This window comes from Homo sapiens, chromosome 9 (assembly GCF_000001405.40).
Source record: "Homo sapiens chromosome 9, GRCh38.p14 Primary Assembly".
Lineage (NCBI taxonomy): Eukaryota > Metazoa > Chordata > Mammalia > Primates > Hominidae > Homo > Homo sapiens.
The window spans coordinates 112,140,700-112,156,756 of record NC_000009.12 but is presented as its reverse complement, the minus strand read 5'-3'; the positions used below and the strand labels follow the sequence as shown (position 1 = coordinate 112,156,756).

Sequence of the window (16,057 nt, the reverse complement as noted above, 5' to 3'; positions counted from 1 at the left end):
GTTGTGATATCTTTGTGTGCTTTTTTTCTCCCTAAAGAAAAATAACAGCGAGGTACTGAGCCTCGATCTTGTAATCCCAGCTATTCTGGAGGCTGAGGTGGGAGGATCACTTGAGGCCAGGAGTTTGAGACCAGCCTGGGCAGCATAGTGAGACCCCCATATCTAAAAAAAGTTTTTTTTAAATTAGCCACATGTGGTGGCACATGCCTGTACTTCCAGGTATTTGGGAGGCTGAGGCAGGAGGATGCCTTGAGCCCAGGAGTTCGAAGCTTCAGTGAGTATTTTTTTTTTTTTTTGAGATGGAGTCTCACTCGTCGCCCAGGCTGGAGTGCAGTGGTGCGATCTTGGCTCACTGCAGCCTCCGCCTCCGAGGTTCAAGTGATTCTCCTACTTCAGCCTCTTGAGTAGCTGGGATTACAGGTATGTGCCACCATGCCCAGCTAATTTTCGTATTTTTAGTAGAGACTGGGTTTCACCATGTTGGGCAGGCTGGTCTCGAACTCCTGACCTCGTGATCCACCAGCCTTGGCCTCCCAAAGTGCTGGGATTACAAGCGTCAGCCACTGCGCCCGGCCAGTGAGTTTTTTTTTTTTTTACCTTTATTTTATTTTTAGAGACAAGGGCTTTCTGTTTCCCAGGCTGGAGTACAGTGGCATGATCATAGCTCACTGCAACCTTGCTGCCACACCCAGCTAAGCTAGTGTTTTTCTTTCTTCTTCTCTTCCTTCTCTCTCTCTCCCTTCTCTCTCTTTCTTTCTTTCTCTCTTTCTTTCTTTCTCTCTCCTTTCCTTCTTTTCCTTCCTTCCATCCTTCCTCCTTCTCTTCCTTCTTCTTCCTCCTCCTCTTCTTTCTTTTCTCCTTCTCCCTCTCTCCTTCTCCTTCTTCCTCTTCCTCTTATTCTTCTTCCTCTTCTTCTTCATTCTCTTCTTCCTTTTCTTCTTCCCCTTCTTCATTTTTAGTAGATACAGGGTCTCACTACATTGCCCGGGGTGGTCTTGAGCTCCTGGGCTCAAGTGATCCTCCTGCCTCAGCTTCCTAAAGTGCTGGGATTATAGGTATGAGCCACCGCACCTGGCCACCACTGCACTCCAGTCTGGGCGACAGAACAAGATCCCATCTCTTAAAAATAAAAAAAAGAAACTAAAAACAAACAAACAAAAAAACCAAAAAAAAATCCCCACTGAGTCTTGTCTTCAAAAAGTCACCTTTCACTTTGCAGACACAAGCTTTTACAGTCACCCACCATTGCCCATTCTGCAGGCTGGAGTGAAGCCTTCTTTGACTCTTGTTTTTTAGGTTTCTACCCATGAGAAGTTTGGCTACCCTGCAGTCTGAGGCTCCAGGGGGAATTTCTCCTAATGCTTCTCACCCTCCCGTTCCTCACCCGCACTTGCTAGCAGTGAGATAGAAATGAAGTTGAGAAGAATGGATAAATTTTTCTGTTCACTTCCCAAAGGAATTCCTCCTCCCATGGGTGCTAGCTTGCCCTTTGACTTTTTTTTTTTTTTGATGGCGTCTCCCTCGGTCACCCAGACTGAAGTGCGGTGGTGCGATCTTGGCTTACTGCAACCTCTGCCTCCTGGGTTCAAGTGATTCTCCTGCCTCAGCCTCCCGAGTAGCTAGGATTACAGGCGGGCACCACCACGCCCGGCTAATTTTTGTATTTTTAGTAGAGACGAGGTTTCACCATGTTGGCCAGGCTGGTCTTGAACTCCCGACCTCAGGTGATCTGCCTGCCTCAGACTCCCAAAGTGCTGGGATTACAGACGTGAGCCACCGCACCTGGCCCTGCCCTTTGATTTTTGAACAAAGAAACTCCTCTTAATGGGCAGAAAGGGCTTTATTAATTTATGTGGTACTACTCCCAGGCACTAGGCACTGTGCATCCCGATGCTTGGCCTGCTGAGACTTTGCCTTACATAGATTGCAGGCAAGGTTATACATGTGCCAGAGGTGCTATAACATGGTATTAAGCCTAGGGTCTTGAGAATTCTAGACGCCTCTGCAAACCGAAATGTCCCTTCCAGTGAGGTCCACAGAGGAGGCCTGTCTCAAAAACAACAGCAAAGGACAGGAATATTCCATTTTATGGACAGCTGGACTTGTTTCTAAAACCACTGGATAGTGTTCTGTAACCTAGGACGGACACTTGGCCTAACTATGGCTTGAGAGTCTGCTCTGTCTCTCTAAGCTCTTATGCAGATCTCCCCAAAGATAGTTTTTTTTGTTTGTTTGATTTTCTTTCAGACAGGGTCTCACTCTGTTGTCCAGGCTGGAGTGTAGTGGTGTGACCATGGCTCACTGCAGCCTCGACCTCCCAGGCTCAAGTGATCTTCCTGCCTCAGCTCCTGAGTATCTGGGACTACAGGCACACACCACCACGTGCAGCTAATTTTTCTCTCTCTTTTTTTTTTTTTTTTTGTGTGTGTGTGTGGAGGTGGGGTTTTGCCATGTGGCCCAGGCTGGTCTTGAACTACTGGGCTCAAGTGATCTGCCTGCCTTGGCCTCCCAAAGTGCTGGGATTACAGGTGTGAGCTACTGCACCTGGCCCCACTGATAGTTTTAATATGGTGAATCATGTTCCAAAGCCAATTACATTTTACAAAGGTAATACAGTCATGTGCCATATAACGATGTTTTGGTTAATGATAGACCGAATATACAACAGTGGGCCCATAAGATTATATAATGGAGCTGAAAAATTCCTATCACCTAGAGATGTCGTAGCTGTCATAATGTTATAACACAATGCATTATGTGTTTGTAGTGATGCTGGTATAAGCAAACCTACTGTGCTGCCAGTTGTATAAAAGTATAGCACATACAATAATGTATAGTACATAGGCCAGGCATGGTGGGTCATGCCTGTAATCCCAGCACTTTTGGAAGCCAAGGCAGGAGGATCACCTGAAGCCAGGAGTTCAAGACCAGCCTGTCCAACATGGTGAAACCCCATCTCTACTAAAAATACAAAAATTAGCCAGGCATGGTGGCAGGCGCCTGTAATCTCAGCTACTCAGGAGGCTGAGACAGGAGAATTGCTTGAACCCAGGAGGCAGAGGTTGCAGTGAGCCGAGATCGCGCCATTGCACTCCAGCCTGGGTGACAAGAGCAAAACTCCGTCTCAAAAAAAAAAAAAAAAAAGTATAGTATGTAATACTTGAAAATGACAATAAATGATTATATTACTGGATTATGTATTTGCTATATGTTTTATCATTATTTTAGAATGTACTCCTTCTACTTATTAAAAAAAACTTAACTACTAAACAGCCTCAGGCAGGTCTTTCAGGATGTATTGCAGAAGAAAGCATTGTTATCATAGGAGATGACAGCTCCATGTATGCTCTTGCCCTTGACAACCTTCCAGTGGGACAAGATGTGGAAGCGGAAGACAGTGATAACATGATCCTGACCATGTGTAGGCCTAAGCTATTGCCTAAGCTATTGTGTGTGTGTGTGTTTGTGTCTTAGAATTTTTTTTTTTTTTTAGCCAGGGTCTCACTTTGTCACCTGTGTTGGAGTGCAGTGGTGTGATCTCGGCCCACTACAGCCTCAGCCTCCTGGGCTCAAGTGATCCTTCCACCTCGGCCTCCCAAGTAGCTGAGACTACAGAGGCAAACCACCACATCAGGCTAATTTTGTTTATTTTTTGCAGAGACAAGGTCTCATTATGTTGCCCAGGCTCTTCTTGAACTCCTGGGCTCAAGTGATCCTCTTGCCTTGGCCTCCCAAAGTGCTGAGATTACAGATGCAAATCACTGTGCCTGGCCTGTGTCTGAGTTTTTAATAAGAAAGTTTAAAAAGTAAAAACATTTTTTTTCCAATTAAAAAATTAGCCAGGTGTGGTGGCAGGTACCTGTGGTCCTAGCTATTCAAGAAGTCGAGGCAGGAGGATCCCTTGAGCCGAGGAGGTTGAGGCTGCAGTGAGCTATGGTCACACCACTGCACTCCAGCCTTGGTTATGATGCAAGACCCTGTTTACAAAAAAAAAAAAAAAAAAAAGATTAAAAAAAATAATAGAAGAAAAAAGCTAATAAAAGGCTGGATGTGGTGGCTTATGCCTGCAATCTAATCCCAGCACTTTGGGACGTGGAGGCACAAGGAATCCTTGAGGCCAGGAGTTCGAGATGAGTCTGAGCAACATATTGAGACCCCTCCATCTGTACAAAAAAAAAAAAAAAAAATTATCCAGGCACAGTAGCAGTCACCTGTGGTCCTAGCTACTCAGGGAGGTTGGGGTGGGAGAATCACTTGAGCTTAGGAGGTTGAGGTTGCAGTGAGCTATGATCACACCACTGCACTCCAGTCAGGGTGACAGAGCAAGACCCTGTCTCCAGAAAAAAAACAAAAAACAAAAAAAACCATATAGAATTTCATATAAAGAAACAAAAAAAAATTCTTCGTACAGCTGTAGAATGTGTTTGTATTTTAAGTTAAGCATTATTACAAAAGAGTCAATAAGTTAAAAAAATTGAAAAGTTTAAGTAAAAAAGCTACAGTAAGCTAAAGTTAATTTATTATTGAAGAAAGATCCCTTTTTTTTTTTTTTTTGAGACAGAGTCTCACTCTGTCACCCTGGCTGGAGTGCAATGGCGCGATCTCGGCTCACTGCAACCTCCGCCTCCTGGGTTCAAATGATTCTCCTGCCTCAGCCTCCCAAGTAGCTGGGATTACAGGCGTGCACCACCACAACTGGCTAATTTTTGTATTTTTTTTTTTGAGATGGAGTTTTGCTCTTGTTGCCCAGGCTGGAGTGCAATGGCGCGATCTTGGCTCACTGCAACCTCTGCCTCCCAGGTTCAAGCAATTCTCCTGCCTCAGCCTCCTGAGTAACTGAGATTACAGGCATGTACCACTGTGCCCGGCTAATTTTGTATTTTTAGTAGAGACGGGGTTTCTCCATGTTGAGGCTGGTCTTGAACTCCTGACCTCAGGTGATCCGCCCACCTCAGCCTCCCAAAGTGCTGGGATTACAGGCATGAGCCACCGCACCCGGCCTAATTTTTGTATTTTTAGTAGAGACGGGGTTTCACCTTGTTGGCCAGGATGGTCTTGAACTCCTGACCTCAGGTGATCTGCCTGCCTTGGCCTCCCAAAGTGCTGGGATTACAGACGTGAGCCACTGTGCCCGGCCAAGAAAGATACTTTTTTTTTTTTGAGATGGAATTTCACTCTTGTTGCCCAGCTGGAGTGCAATGGCATGATCTCTGCTTGCTACAACCTCCACTTCCCGGGTTCAAGCAATTCTCCTGCCTCAGCCTCCTGAGTAGTTGGAATTACAGGTGCCCGCCATTATGCCCAGCTAATTTTTGTATTTTTAGTAGAGATGGGGTTTCACCATGTTGGCCAGGCTGGTCTCGAACTCCTGACCTCAGGCGATCCTCCTGCCTCAGCCTCCCAAAGTTCTGGGATTACAGGTGTGAACCAACGTGCCTGGCCAAGAAAGATACTTTTATAAATTTAGTGTAGCCTATGTGTACAGTGTTTAGAAAGTTTACAGTAAGGCTGGATGTGGTGGCTCACACCTGTAATCCCTTTGGGAGCTCTTTGGGAGGCTAAGGTGGGAGGATCCCTTAAGGCCAGGAGTTTGAGACCAGCCTGGGCAACATAGTGAGAGCTGATCTCTACAATTAGAAACTAGAAATTAACTGGGCACGATGGCTTGTGCCTGTAGTGCTAGCTGCTCCTAGCCCCAGGAGGCTGAGGCAAGAGGATTGCTTGAGCCCAGGAGTTCAAGGCTGCAGTGAGCTATGATCGTGCCAGTGCAATTTAGCCTGGGTGACAGAGGGAGACCCTGTCTCTATATAAAAATAAAAGTCTACAGTCATGTATCATAACGTTCTAGGCCTTCCTATTCACTCACTCACTGACTTACCTAGAGCAGCTTCCAGTCCTGCAAGTTCCATTTCATGGTAAGTGCTCTCTAGAGATGTATCAGTTTTTTACATTTTATACTGTATTTTTACTGTACCACTTCTATGTTTAGATATATTTAGATACACTAATACTTCCCACTGTGTTACAGTTGCCTACGGTATTCAGTACAGTAACATGCTATACAGGTTTCTAGCCTAGGAGCACTACACTCTACCATATAACCTAAGTGTGTAGTTGGCTATGCCATTTAGGTTTGTGTAAATACACCCTATGATGTTCCCACAATCATGAACTTGCCTAATGACACAATCCTCAGTATGTGTCCCCATCATTAAGTGACATATGACTGTAAAATAAAAATAATAATAAAAAACCCACCCAGATCTTCTGGAGGGTACTTTTGGTTGAATAAGAATTGAGTGCAATTGTGAGAGGCCATTAAACGGATATGAGGGGCCCACTGGTGAAATAAAACACGAAGTAACAAACAAGCTACAAATTCATAAGTTGATGATTTTTCTCCCAAAAAAAGCTAACTGTGTAGATCAGCTCTAAAAGGATGCATAAACAATTTGGTCACAGGAGTTTCCTCTTAAATTAGAGGGTTAGGCAGAGTCAGCAAACTATGGCCCATGGGCCAAGTTCGACCTGCTGCCTGTTTCTGTAGGTGGAGTTTTACTGGTACGTAGCATTGCTTGGTAGTTTACCTGTTGTCTACAGCTGCTTTCGTGCCCATGAGCACAGGTGAGTTGTTGCAACAGATACTGTGAGAAAAAGTTTGCTGACCCCTGAGCTAGAGGGCAGAGATGAGAGGGAGATTTACGTTCATTTTGCATCTTTCACTTTCATATTATTCAATGAAAAACACTCTGGGCAAGCTTCTGGGGACTCATCGAGCATCCATGTTCCAGGCCTCTGCACTGAGGGACTAACATTATTCACCACAGGTCATTGACCATTAGCATGAGCTATTCCTGCTTCTGCATTAGCCCTGCTCCGGATGAGGCTGCAGCACTAATTCCATTGTGTTTCTTGGTAGTTCAGAAGGAAGAAATTTTCCAGTTAATCACTGGCTGTAAAGTCACCCTACCCTGGCTTTCATGGAAAACCATGAGAATGGCTGAACTGGAAAAGGGGAATTCTGCTGGTTTGTTTCCGTGGGCCTCTGAAAAGATCTTTTTAAGCTTGGAAAAGTTCAAAGAGAACCCTCTTCTCCCAATCTTCAAATCAGACGGATTGCCAGATTGAGGTGTTGTGTTTCTCTTGGGGTTTCATACACTCCTGGCACATAACTACGAGGGGCCCAGGTCCTGTAGTCTGGGGAGCATCGTGAAAGGAGAAGAGGCTGGAGAAATAGATCACTAAGGTGTGGTCACAGAACGTTGGTTCCCGAGTCCATAGCATGGGAGGACAGTCTGGGCTGTTGAAGTCGGTGTGGATTGATAGCTCTTCCGGTGCCTTGTCTGTGTGTCAACAGATAAAAATGAGTGCCAGTTTGGAGCCACTCTTGTCTGTGGGAACCACACATCTTGCCACAACACCCCCGGGGGCTTCTATTGCATTTGCCTGGAAGGATATCGAGCCACAAACAACAACAAGACATTCATTCCCAACGATGGCACCTTTTGTACAGGTACTCAAGAAGGGGGCTGCGGTGTTGACAATTGGCGATGGCAGGATAGTATCTGGGCTGTGTATTTGTTAATATTAGGGAATTAATGTTAGTTTTGTTAGATGGCATAATGGTATTGTGGTATATAGGATAATATTCTTATTTTGGGAGATGCATGCTGAGGTATCTAGGGGTGTTATGATGATGTATCTATAATAGTGTTCCTTTAGTCTGTAAGCTACTTTAAATGGCAAAATGTAAACAACGATTGAATCTTGGGGGGATGTGGGTCTATGGGAGTTCATTGTAATATTCTTTTTCTTTCATTGTAATGTTTTGTTTGAACTTTTTTTTTTTTAAGGGGGGGGTCTCACTCTGTTGCCCAGGCTGGAGTGCAGTGGCACAATCTCGACTCTCTGTAACCTCCGCCTCCTGGGTTCAAGCGATTCTCCTGCCTCAGCTTCCTAAGTAGCTGGGATTACAGGCACGCACCACCATGCTCAGCTAATTTTTGTATTTTTGGTAGAGATGCGGTTTTGCCCCATTGGCCAGGCTGGTCTCAAACTCCTGGCCTCAAGTGATCTGCCCGCCTCGGCCTCCCAAAGTGCTGGGATTAGTCATGAGCCACTGCACCTGGCCTGATCGTTTTCATAATGAATAGTGAGGAGGGACTCTCTGGAGATGGTGTGCCTCCTGCAGGTTCCTGTAACCACAGGTCGGGGGTCCTTGGGGTGAGTGGCACTCCTCAGCTCAGAGCACACTAATCTGGGGGCTGGCACCCGGCTGTTGGCTCACAGGAGGTCAGAGTTGTCCCTGTTAAGAGATGTGGGCTTGCCTCCCACATGTGTGCGCTGAGTGAGGAGTGCGAGTTTTGGGAGCATGGGAGCTTTGTAGGCTGGGTCTCTGAGCATAGGCTGGTCGAATACAGGGTGGGGACAAACCCTCCTAATTTTTAGCGGCTCCTCTGTTATCTGAACTCTATAAACAGCATACGCTATTTAATGTTGCTCTCTGGCTTTCTAGGAAAATCTTTGAACAATAATGAAGAGGAAAGGCAGAAAAAGCCTCCTGGTTCTAAGATGCTTTTGCATAGACTTAATGACTCTGCTGGAAAGCTTCGTGATATTTAAAGGTTTTCAGGAAAAATAAAATGAAAGGAGAACATATTTTATCTTCTTAGCTACCAGGAACCGTAGGTTCTTATGCTCGGATTCATCCTCCCTCTTGACCTGTACCAAGGCAGAATCTCTCAAAGGATACATTTGATTTATTCTTGGCACGAATGAACACATTCCTTCAGAGAAAACATTTTATAATATCCTGTTGTTCTAGGTAGCAAATTACTGGCTGCATGGTTGCAGAAGTACAATGTTACAGTATTAAATTTTGTATATTAAGAAGAAAAGACACTAAAAAAAAAGCATATAAGATGATGATCTAGTGTTTTGTTTATTCAATACACATTTCTCATGTACTTTTTCTTTTCTTTTCTTTTTGAGACGGAGTCTCGCTCTGTTGCCCAGGCTGGAGTGCAGTGGCATGATCTCGGCTCACTGCAGGCTCTGCCTCACGGGTTCAAGCGATTCTCCTGCTTCAGCCTCCTGAGTAGCTGGGACTACAGGTGCGCACTGCCACGACTGGCTAATTTTTGTACTTTTAGGAGAGACGGGGTTTCACCATGTTGGCCAGGATGGTCTTGATCTCTTGACATTGTGATCTGCCTGCCTTGGCCTCCCAAAGTGCTAGGATTACAGGCGTGAGCCACTGTGACCCAGGCTGGAGTGCAGTGGCACAATCACGGCTCACTGCAACCTCTGCCTCCTGCGTTCAAGCGATTCCCCTGTGCTTCTCCTGTCTCAGCCTCCTGAGTAGCTGGGATTACAGGCACCCGCCACCATGCCCAGCTAATTTTTGTATTTTAGTAGAGACAGGGTTTCACCATGTTGGCCAGGCTTGTCTCGAAGTCCTGACCTCGGCTGATTCACCTGCCTCGGCCTCCCAAAGTGCTGGGATTACAGACGTGAGCCACCACGCCTGGCCTTTCATGCACTTCTTATATGACAAGACTGTGCTAGTGGAAGGGTGACGAGCAGACAGCTAATTTCAGTATAAAGTGTTAGTCATAGGTAAGCAAACAGCATTTACTGGAATCTAGGGGTCACTTATCTTGGCTGTGAGGAAGGAATCAGGGGAATCTTCTGGAGAATATGATCCCTGAAATTGTGTTTTCTAGGCTGTGGGAGTTTGCCAGGGAAAACTTACAACTGTATATTTATCAGTATGTTTATAGTTCCAAGAGATGAATTCAGCTTTTGAAAGTTATGAAGAAGGCTGGGCATGGTGACTCACGCCTGTATCCCCAGGACTTTGGGAGGCCAAGGCTGGAGGATCACTTCAGACCAGGAGTTCAAGACCAGCTTGGGCAACATAATGAGACTTCATCTTTACAAAAAATAAGAAAATTAGCTGGATGTGGTGGCTTGTGCCTGTTGTCCTAGCTACTTGGAAGGCTGAGGTGGGAGGATCGCTGGAGCCCAGGACTTTGAGGCTGCAGTGAGCCAAGGTTGTGCCATTGCACTCCAGCCTGGGTGACAGAGCGAGACTTTGTCTTAATTTTTTTTTTTTTTAAGTTAGGAAGAAGAATGAGGAGGAGGAAGAGTGAGAAGATTGGTGGGAACAGGAGGAGGGAAGAAGAGGGGAAGAGGAAAGAGAAAAAAATATTTTATGTAAGGGCCAAATAGGTGTCAGCCGAACTAGACCTAATCTGCCTGGAACTAAATCCAGATCTAGGCTCTACTTTTATTTATTCCATTCTTGCAATGATTGAATGACCTTCTCTTTTGTAAAAAATTGAGCTATAGTTTACATACCATCAAATTCACCCTTTTGATGTATACAACTCAGTGGTTTTTAGTATATTCACAAAGTTGTGCTAGCATCACCACTGTCTCATTTTGGAGCATTTTCATGCCCCCACCATGAAGACCATGTCCACTGGCAGCCATTCCCATGACCTTTCCTTGTGAGTTCTCCAGTTATCACTTTGTAAAAGCTGATGAATTGCTTTTCTTGATAATACTGTTTCTTTCAGAATCACAGTTGCCAGAGAAACATCAGCGGGCTTTAGCTGGGGCAGAGCTTAGCAAGTGTTGGGGTATCAGCAGTTAGTCACTGTTTGCCTGGAACCACAGGATGTGAATCCTAGTTCCTGGATTCCAAGGAATCCTGCATCCAGGTGTTTATTGTGCTTTGCAGAGTCAACATCAAGCTCAGGAGCTGGTTGCAGGTAGGCCTCTGAATGTCACCAATGTTAGAGGAGGAATGAATTGCTGGGGTTCTAGTGTGAGATGATTCCAGCCAGTCATGGAGAACAGGCAGATGTTCTGGCCCTTAGAACTGCCCCCTGAATGACTCCTGGGAATCATGGAAACCACCATGAGCCACAACCCAGGAGAAGAAGCTCTGTGGCACTTCTTGTGTGAGGGTGGTTTGACTTGGATGGGCTCCTTCAGCAATTGAATAGAATTACTGGTTCCCAAACAATAATTGGTGTGAGTGGAGAGGCGTTCATTGATCCAAGACCCAAAAGGAAAAAGAATAAAGAATATAAAAGTTCAAAAGGATTCTGAGGCAATTTTCTTTTATCTTTTGGGGGCTAAAATGTCATTTAAGAAAAAGAAATTATAGCCAGGTGCATTGGCTCATGCCTGTAATCCCAGCACTTTGGGAGCCAACTGGGTGGACAATTTGAGGTCGGGAGTTCGAGACCAGCCTGGCCAACATGGTGAAACCCTGTCTCTACAAAAAGACACACAAAAATTAGCCGGCGTGGTGGTACACACCTGTAGTCCCAGCTACTCAGGAGGCTGAGGCAGGAGAATCAGTTGAAGTCAGGAGGCAGCGGTTGCAATAAGCCAAGATCACACCATTGCACTCCAGCCTGGGCAACAGAGTGAGACTCTGTCTCAAAAAAAAAAAAAAAAAAAGGAAATTATGGTATTACTAGCTTTTTGAAATTTTTTTTTTAAAAAACAGACTTTCTTCAATCATGCTGCTTCCTGTCTTCTGCTCAATCCCTGATGTTTTTATGCCAATGTCCTAGGAATTTCAGTTAGGGTGCTTTTTTGTTTTCTCCAAGTGGAATTGAACTATGTGGCTCTGATGAAAATAGTATTATTATTATTTTTAGAGATGAGGGTCTTGCTGTGTTGCCCAGGCCGGCCTTGAACTCCCGGACTTAAAGCAATCCTCCTGCCTCAGCCTCTTGAGCAACTGGGACCATAGGCATGCCCAGGCATGCCCAGCTGATGGAATTCTTAAAGTTTTAAAGTCAGTTCTGAGGGAAAAAACTACTAACTGGAAGAGAGATTTCTTCTCCAGCCTCTGGCTTATTGGGCAGTTTTTACCCTATACCTGCTGCCTCTGATAGTCTTCAGTCAGGTGCAAAAAAATCTGCAAAAGGGCATGTCCTGTCCTTCCAGAAGGCTGTTTTAAGGCTGTCTCATTTTCATAAAATTAGTAAGACCTTTCCTAATTAAGTTACCACCTTATTACCTGCCACACCATCCTATACTCATGGGCTGGCATTTTCACTCTCCTGGAGATTGTTTTCCTTATTTAAAACATTAAAAATGTTGTTTATATTTTAAGTTAATTTTAAGACAGGTTCTCACTTCGTTCCCAGGCTGGTCTCAAACTCCTGGACTCAAGCAGTCCTCCCAAAGTGCCAGGATTACAGACATGAGCCACCGTGCCAGGCCTGTAAATTGTTTTCTATCTGAAGCCCTACTTTAGATGTTTTAGTATGAGGTTGGGACCATTCTTTTGTTATAATGATTGGGTATATTTATAGTGATTGGATATATTTATAGTGATTGGATATATTTATAGTGATTGGATATATTTATAGTGACTGGATATATTTTAGTGACTGGATATATTTATAGTGACTGGATTCTTTTAGTGATTGGATATATTTATAGTGATTGGATTTTTTAGTGATTGGATTTTCTTTTTTTTTTTCTTTGAGACGGGGTCTTGCTCTGTCACCCAGGCTGAGTGCAGTGGCGTGATCTCGGCTCACTGCAAGCTCCGCCTCCTAGGTTCAAGTGATTCTCCTGCCTCAGCCTCCTGAATAGCTGGGACTACAGGCATGTACCACCATGGCTGGCTAATTTTTGTATTTTTACTAGAGATGAGGTTTCACTATGTTGGCCAGGCTGGTCTCGAACTCCTGACCTCAAGTGATCCACATGCTTCGGCTTCCCAAAGTGCTGGGATTACAGGTGTGAGCCACCATGCCCGGTCAGGATATTTTTTAGTGATTGGATATATTTATGTTTTTGGTTCATTTTGTTGGGTGTCAGGGAGCCGGTGATGGTTATCAGCTTTTGTAAAATCCCAGAACACACTGACAAACATTTATTGAGCACTTGCTATGTTTTCAGTGCCTATGATATGAACGATATATGAGAAGAACCCATAAGGCATAAAATAAAATGTATGATACAATTGCAAACAAATGCATCTTTTTACAAGAGTAGCTTGAAAATGTGAAAAAATGGCTGTCACAATATCCTCTCCTTTTTTTTTTCTTTTTTCTGTTTTTATCTCCTTTTCTCTATTTGGATTGGGTCCCAAGACATAGATGAGTGTGAAGTTTCTGGCCTGTGCAGGCATGGAGGGCGATGCGTGAACACTCATGGGAGCTTTGAATGCTACTGTATGGATGGATACTTGCCAAGGAATGGACCTGAACCTTTCCACCCGACCACCGATGCCACATCATGCACAGGTGGGTTTCTGCCAAAAATTGCGGCATCTCAACGTGAAATTCTGTTGATGGTGACTTTCTTCTGCTCCAAGCCTGTGTTGGGGAGGCAGGTGGAGGTGATCTGATCCTTTGCACATTTTGTACAACCTATGACATAAAGCAAATAACAACAATCAAGTTACAGGGGGCCATGTTAAAAAAGCTAAAATTAGGCCAGGAGCAGTAGCTCTGTAATCTCAGCACTTTGGGAGGCCGAGGCTGGTGGATCACTTGAGGTCAGGAGTTCGAGACCAGCCTGGCCAACACGGTGAAACCCTATCTCTACTAAAAATAAAAAAAAATAGCCAGGTGTGGTGGTGGGCACCTGTAATCCCAGCTACTCAGGAGGCTGAGGCATGAGAATTTCTTGAACCCAGGAGACAGAGGTTGCAATGAGCCGAGATCATGCCATTGCACTCCAGCCTGGACAACAGAGTGAGATCTCTGTCTTAAAAAAAAAAAAAAAAAAAAAAAAAAAAAAAAAAAAAAAAGCTAAAATTCATAAACTTAAAGGATTTTTATTAGCAGTTAATAGATATTCCGATATTAACTACTATGTTAGATAGTAAATGCCAATGATTTGGTAAGGTCCCTGCATCTCAAAAGTGACCCTGAAAATAATCAAGGTACATATATCTTAAGGTATTTTGCAATTCAGATTTTTTATTTCACTGGACAAGGCTTCTCTTTAGTTAGTGTAAATTAGTGAGGGTTGATTGCTAAGTTATTTCAGCTTTGTGCATGTATAGATGCTTTACCTATGGAAGGCCAAAAGATTGAATAAAGACAATTGTTGGAAATGTTCCCAGAAGTCATGTGGGAATGAACCAGTGTACTTAAAATATGGCTCGGGGGTGTGTGTGTGTGAGGAATAGGGTAGAGGTGGAGAGAGATTGTGAATTTTGAAGATTTACATTCACGAGGTAATGAATTTGACATTAATTTATTTTCAGAAATAGACTGTGGTACCCCTCCTGAGGTTCCAGATGGCTATATCATAGGAAATTATACGTCTAGTCTGGGCAGCCAGGTTCGTTATGCTTGCAGAGAAGGATTCTTCAGTGTTCCAGAAGATACAGTTTCAAGCTGCACAGGCCTGGGCACATGGGAGTCCCCAAAATTACATTGCCAAGGTGAGTTTTCAAAAAATACAGGTTCCCAATTCATACCACCTTGAAACTGTTTTCATATTTTTCTCTAAATTTCAGTTTCAGGGAATAAATGAGTTAAGTAAACCTTTAAAATTCCTATTTGTTTCTCATAGATTTTCAGGTGATTTTCTTGATTTTTCAGGAATAGTATCATATCATCTGCAAATCATAATTCCATTCATAAATTTTTCTTTCTTTATAATAGTTATGTTTTTCTCTTGATTGATCACTTTGTATTTTTAGAACAAAGACTTAAATGGTAGTGTTGCCTTTGAATATTATTTTTTTATTCCTGACTATTAGGGAAATGGTTTGGGTGTTTCTTCATTCCTGATGTTAGTTTTTTGATGTTAGGTGTATATATATATATATATTCCCAGAAGTCATGTGGGAATGAACATATATATATACATATATATACACACACATATATGTATATATATACATATATATATAAAAACGTCATGTGGGAATAACATATATTATATATAATATACAATATATACAATATATGTAATATATTACATGTAATGTATTATATATTATATATTACATGTAATATATATTATATATAATACATTACATGTAATATATTATATATTTTTTATATATATATATAGTTTTTGAGACAGAATCTCGCTTTGTCACCCAGTCTGCAGTGTAGTGGCACAACCTTGGCTCACTGCAACCTCTGCCTCCTGGGTTCAAGCGATTCTCATGACTCATCCACTCGAGTAGCTGGGATTACAGGCACCCACCACTACACCCGGCTAATTTTTGTGTTTTTAGTAAAGATGGGGTTTCACCGTGTTGGCCAGGCTAGTCTTGAACTCCTGACCTTAAGTTATCTGCCCGTGTTGGCCTCCCACAGTGCTGGGATTACAGGTGTGAGCCACTGCGCCTGGCTGATATTTGGCATATCTAATCATGTCTACTCATATGGCACTGTGTGCCAAGTATTATTTTAAGCACTTTATATATGATGATGGACCACATTGTAGTGGTCCCATAAGATCATAATGAGACTGAAAAATTCCTATTGCCTAGTGACATCGTAGCCATCATAATGTTGTAGTGCATCACACTCACGTGTTTGTGGCATTGCTGGTGTAAACAAACTTACTGCTCTGCCAGCAAGTACATTACTGTATGTATATTACTGTATGTACATTACTATACATAAAAGTGTACAGTAATGTCCTAGGCCTTCACATTCACTCACTATTCACTCACTGACTCACCCAGACCAACTTCCAGTCCTGCAAGCTCCATTCATGGTAAGTGCCCTATTACAGGTGTATCATTTTTTTATCTTTTATTCTGTATTTTTACTGTATCATTTCTATATTTAGATATATAAGTACTTCTTATTGTGTTATAGTTGCCTACAGTAATCAGTATAGTAACATGCTGTGTGAATTTGTAGCCTAGGAGCAATAGGTATACCATACAGCCTAAGTGAGTAGCAGGCTCTACTATCTAGGTTTGTGTAAGTACACTCTGTGACTTCACACAATGAAGGAATTGCCTAATGATGCATTTCTCAAAATGTATGCAGATTGTTAAATGATGCATGACTGTAATTTGTTTAAGGTCACACAA

The 16,057-nt window shown here is 43.3% G+C and overlaps 1 protein-coding gene across 15 annotated transcripts in view, besides 1 other annotated feature; it reads left to right on the top strand.

The window, feature by feature from the left end:
• The window catches only part of SUSD1 (sushi domain containing 1), a 134,515-nt gene that overhangs the window by 18,541 nt on the left and 99,917 nt on the right, over positions 1-16,057 (top strand). For 14 of the 15 annotated variants that reach the window (XR_007061338.1, XR_007061340.1, XR_007061339.1 and 11 more), the window contains exons 3-5: positions 7,358-7,513; positions 13,134-13,286; positions 14,258-14,437. Coding sequence is in view for 11 of the 15 variants with exons in the window: in XM_047423727.1 (XP_047279683.1) it covers positions 7,358-7,513; positions 13,134-13,286; positions 14,258-14,437 (489 nt within the window). In the remaining 4 variants the exon portion in view is untranslated. The remainder of the gene's footprint in view (positions 1-7,357; positions 7,514-13,133; positions 13,287-14,257; positions 14,438-16,057) is intronic. The other variant, XM_047423728.1, reaches the window with a different exon arrangement.
• Positions 11,230-12,429: an enhancer, noted in NCBI's record as "MED14-independent group 3 enhancer chr9:114906608-114907807 (GRCh37/hg19 assembly coordinates)". NCBI's record gives its function as "activates an origin of replication core promoter dependent on BRD2, BRD4, P300/CBP and CDK7 cofactors, and independent of MED14, by STARR-seq in HCT116 cells {active_cell/tissue: HCT116}" and the evidence as "EXISTENCE:reporter gene assay evidence [ECO:0000049][PMID:35650434]".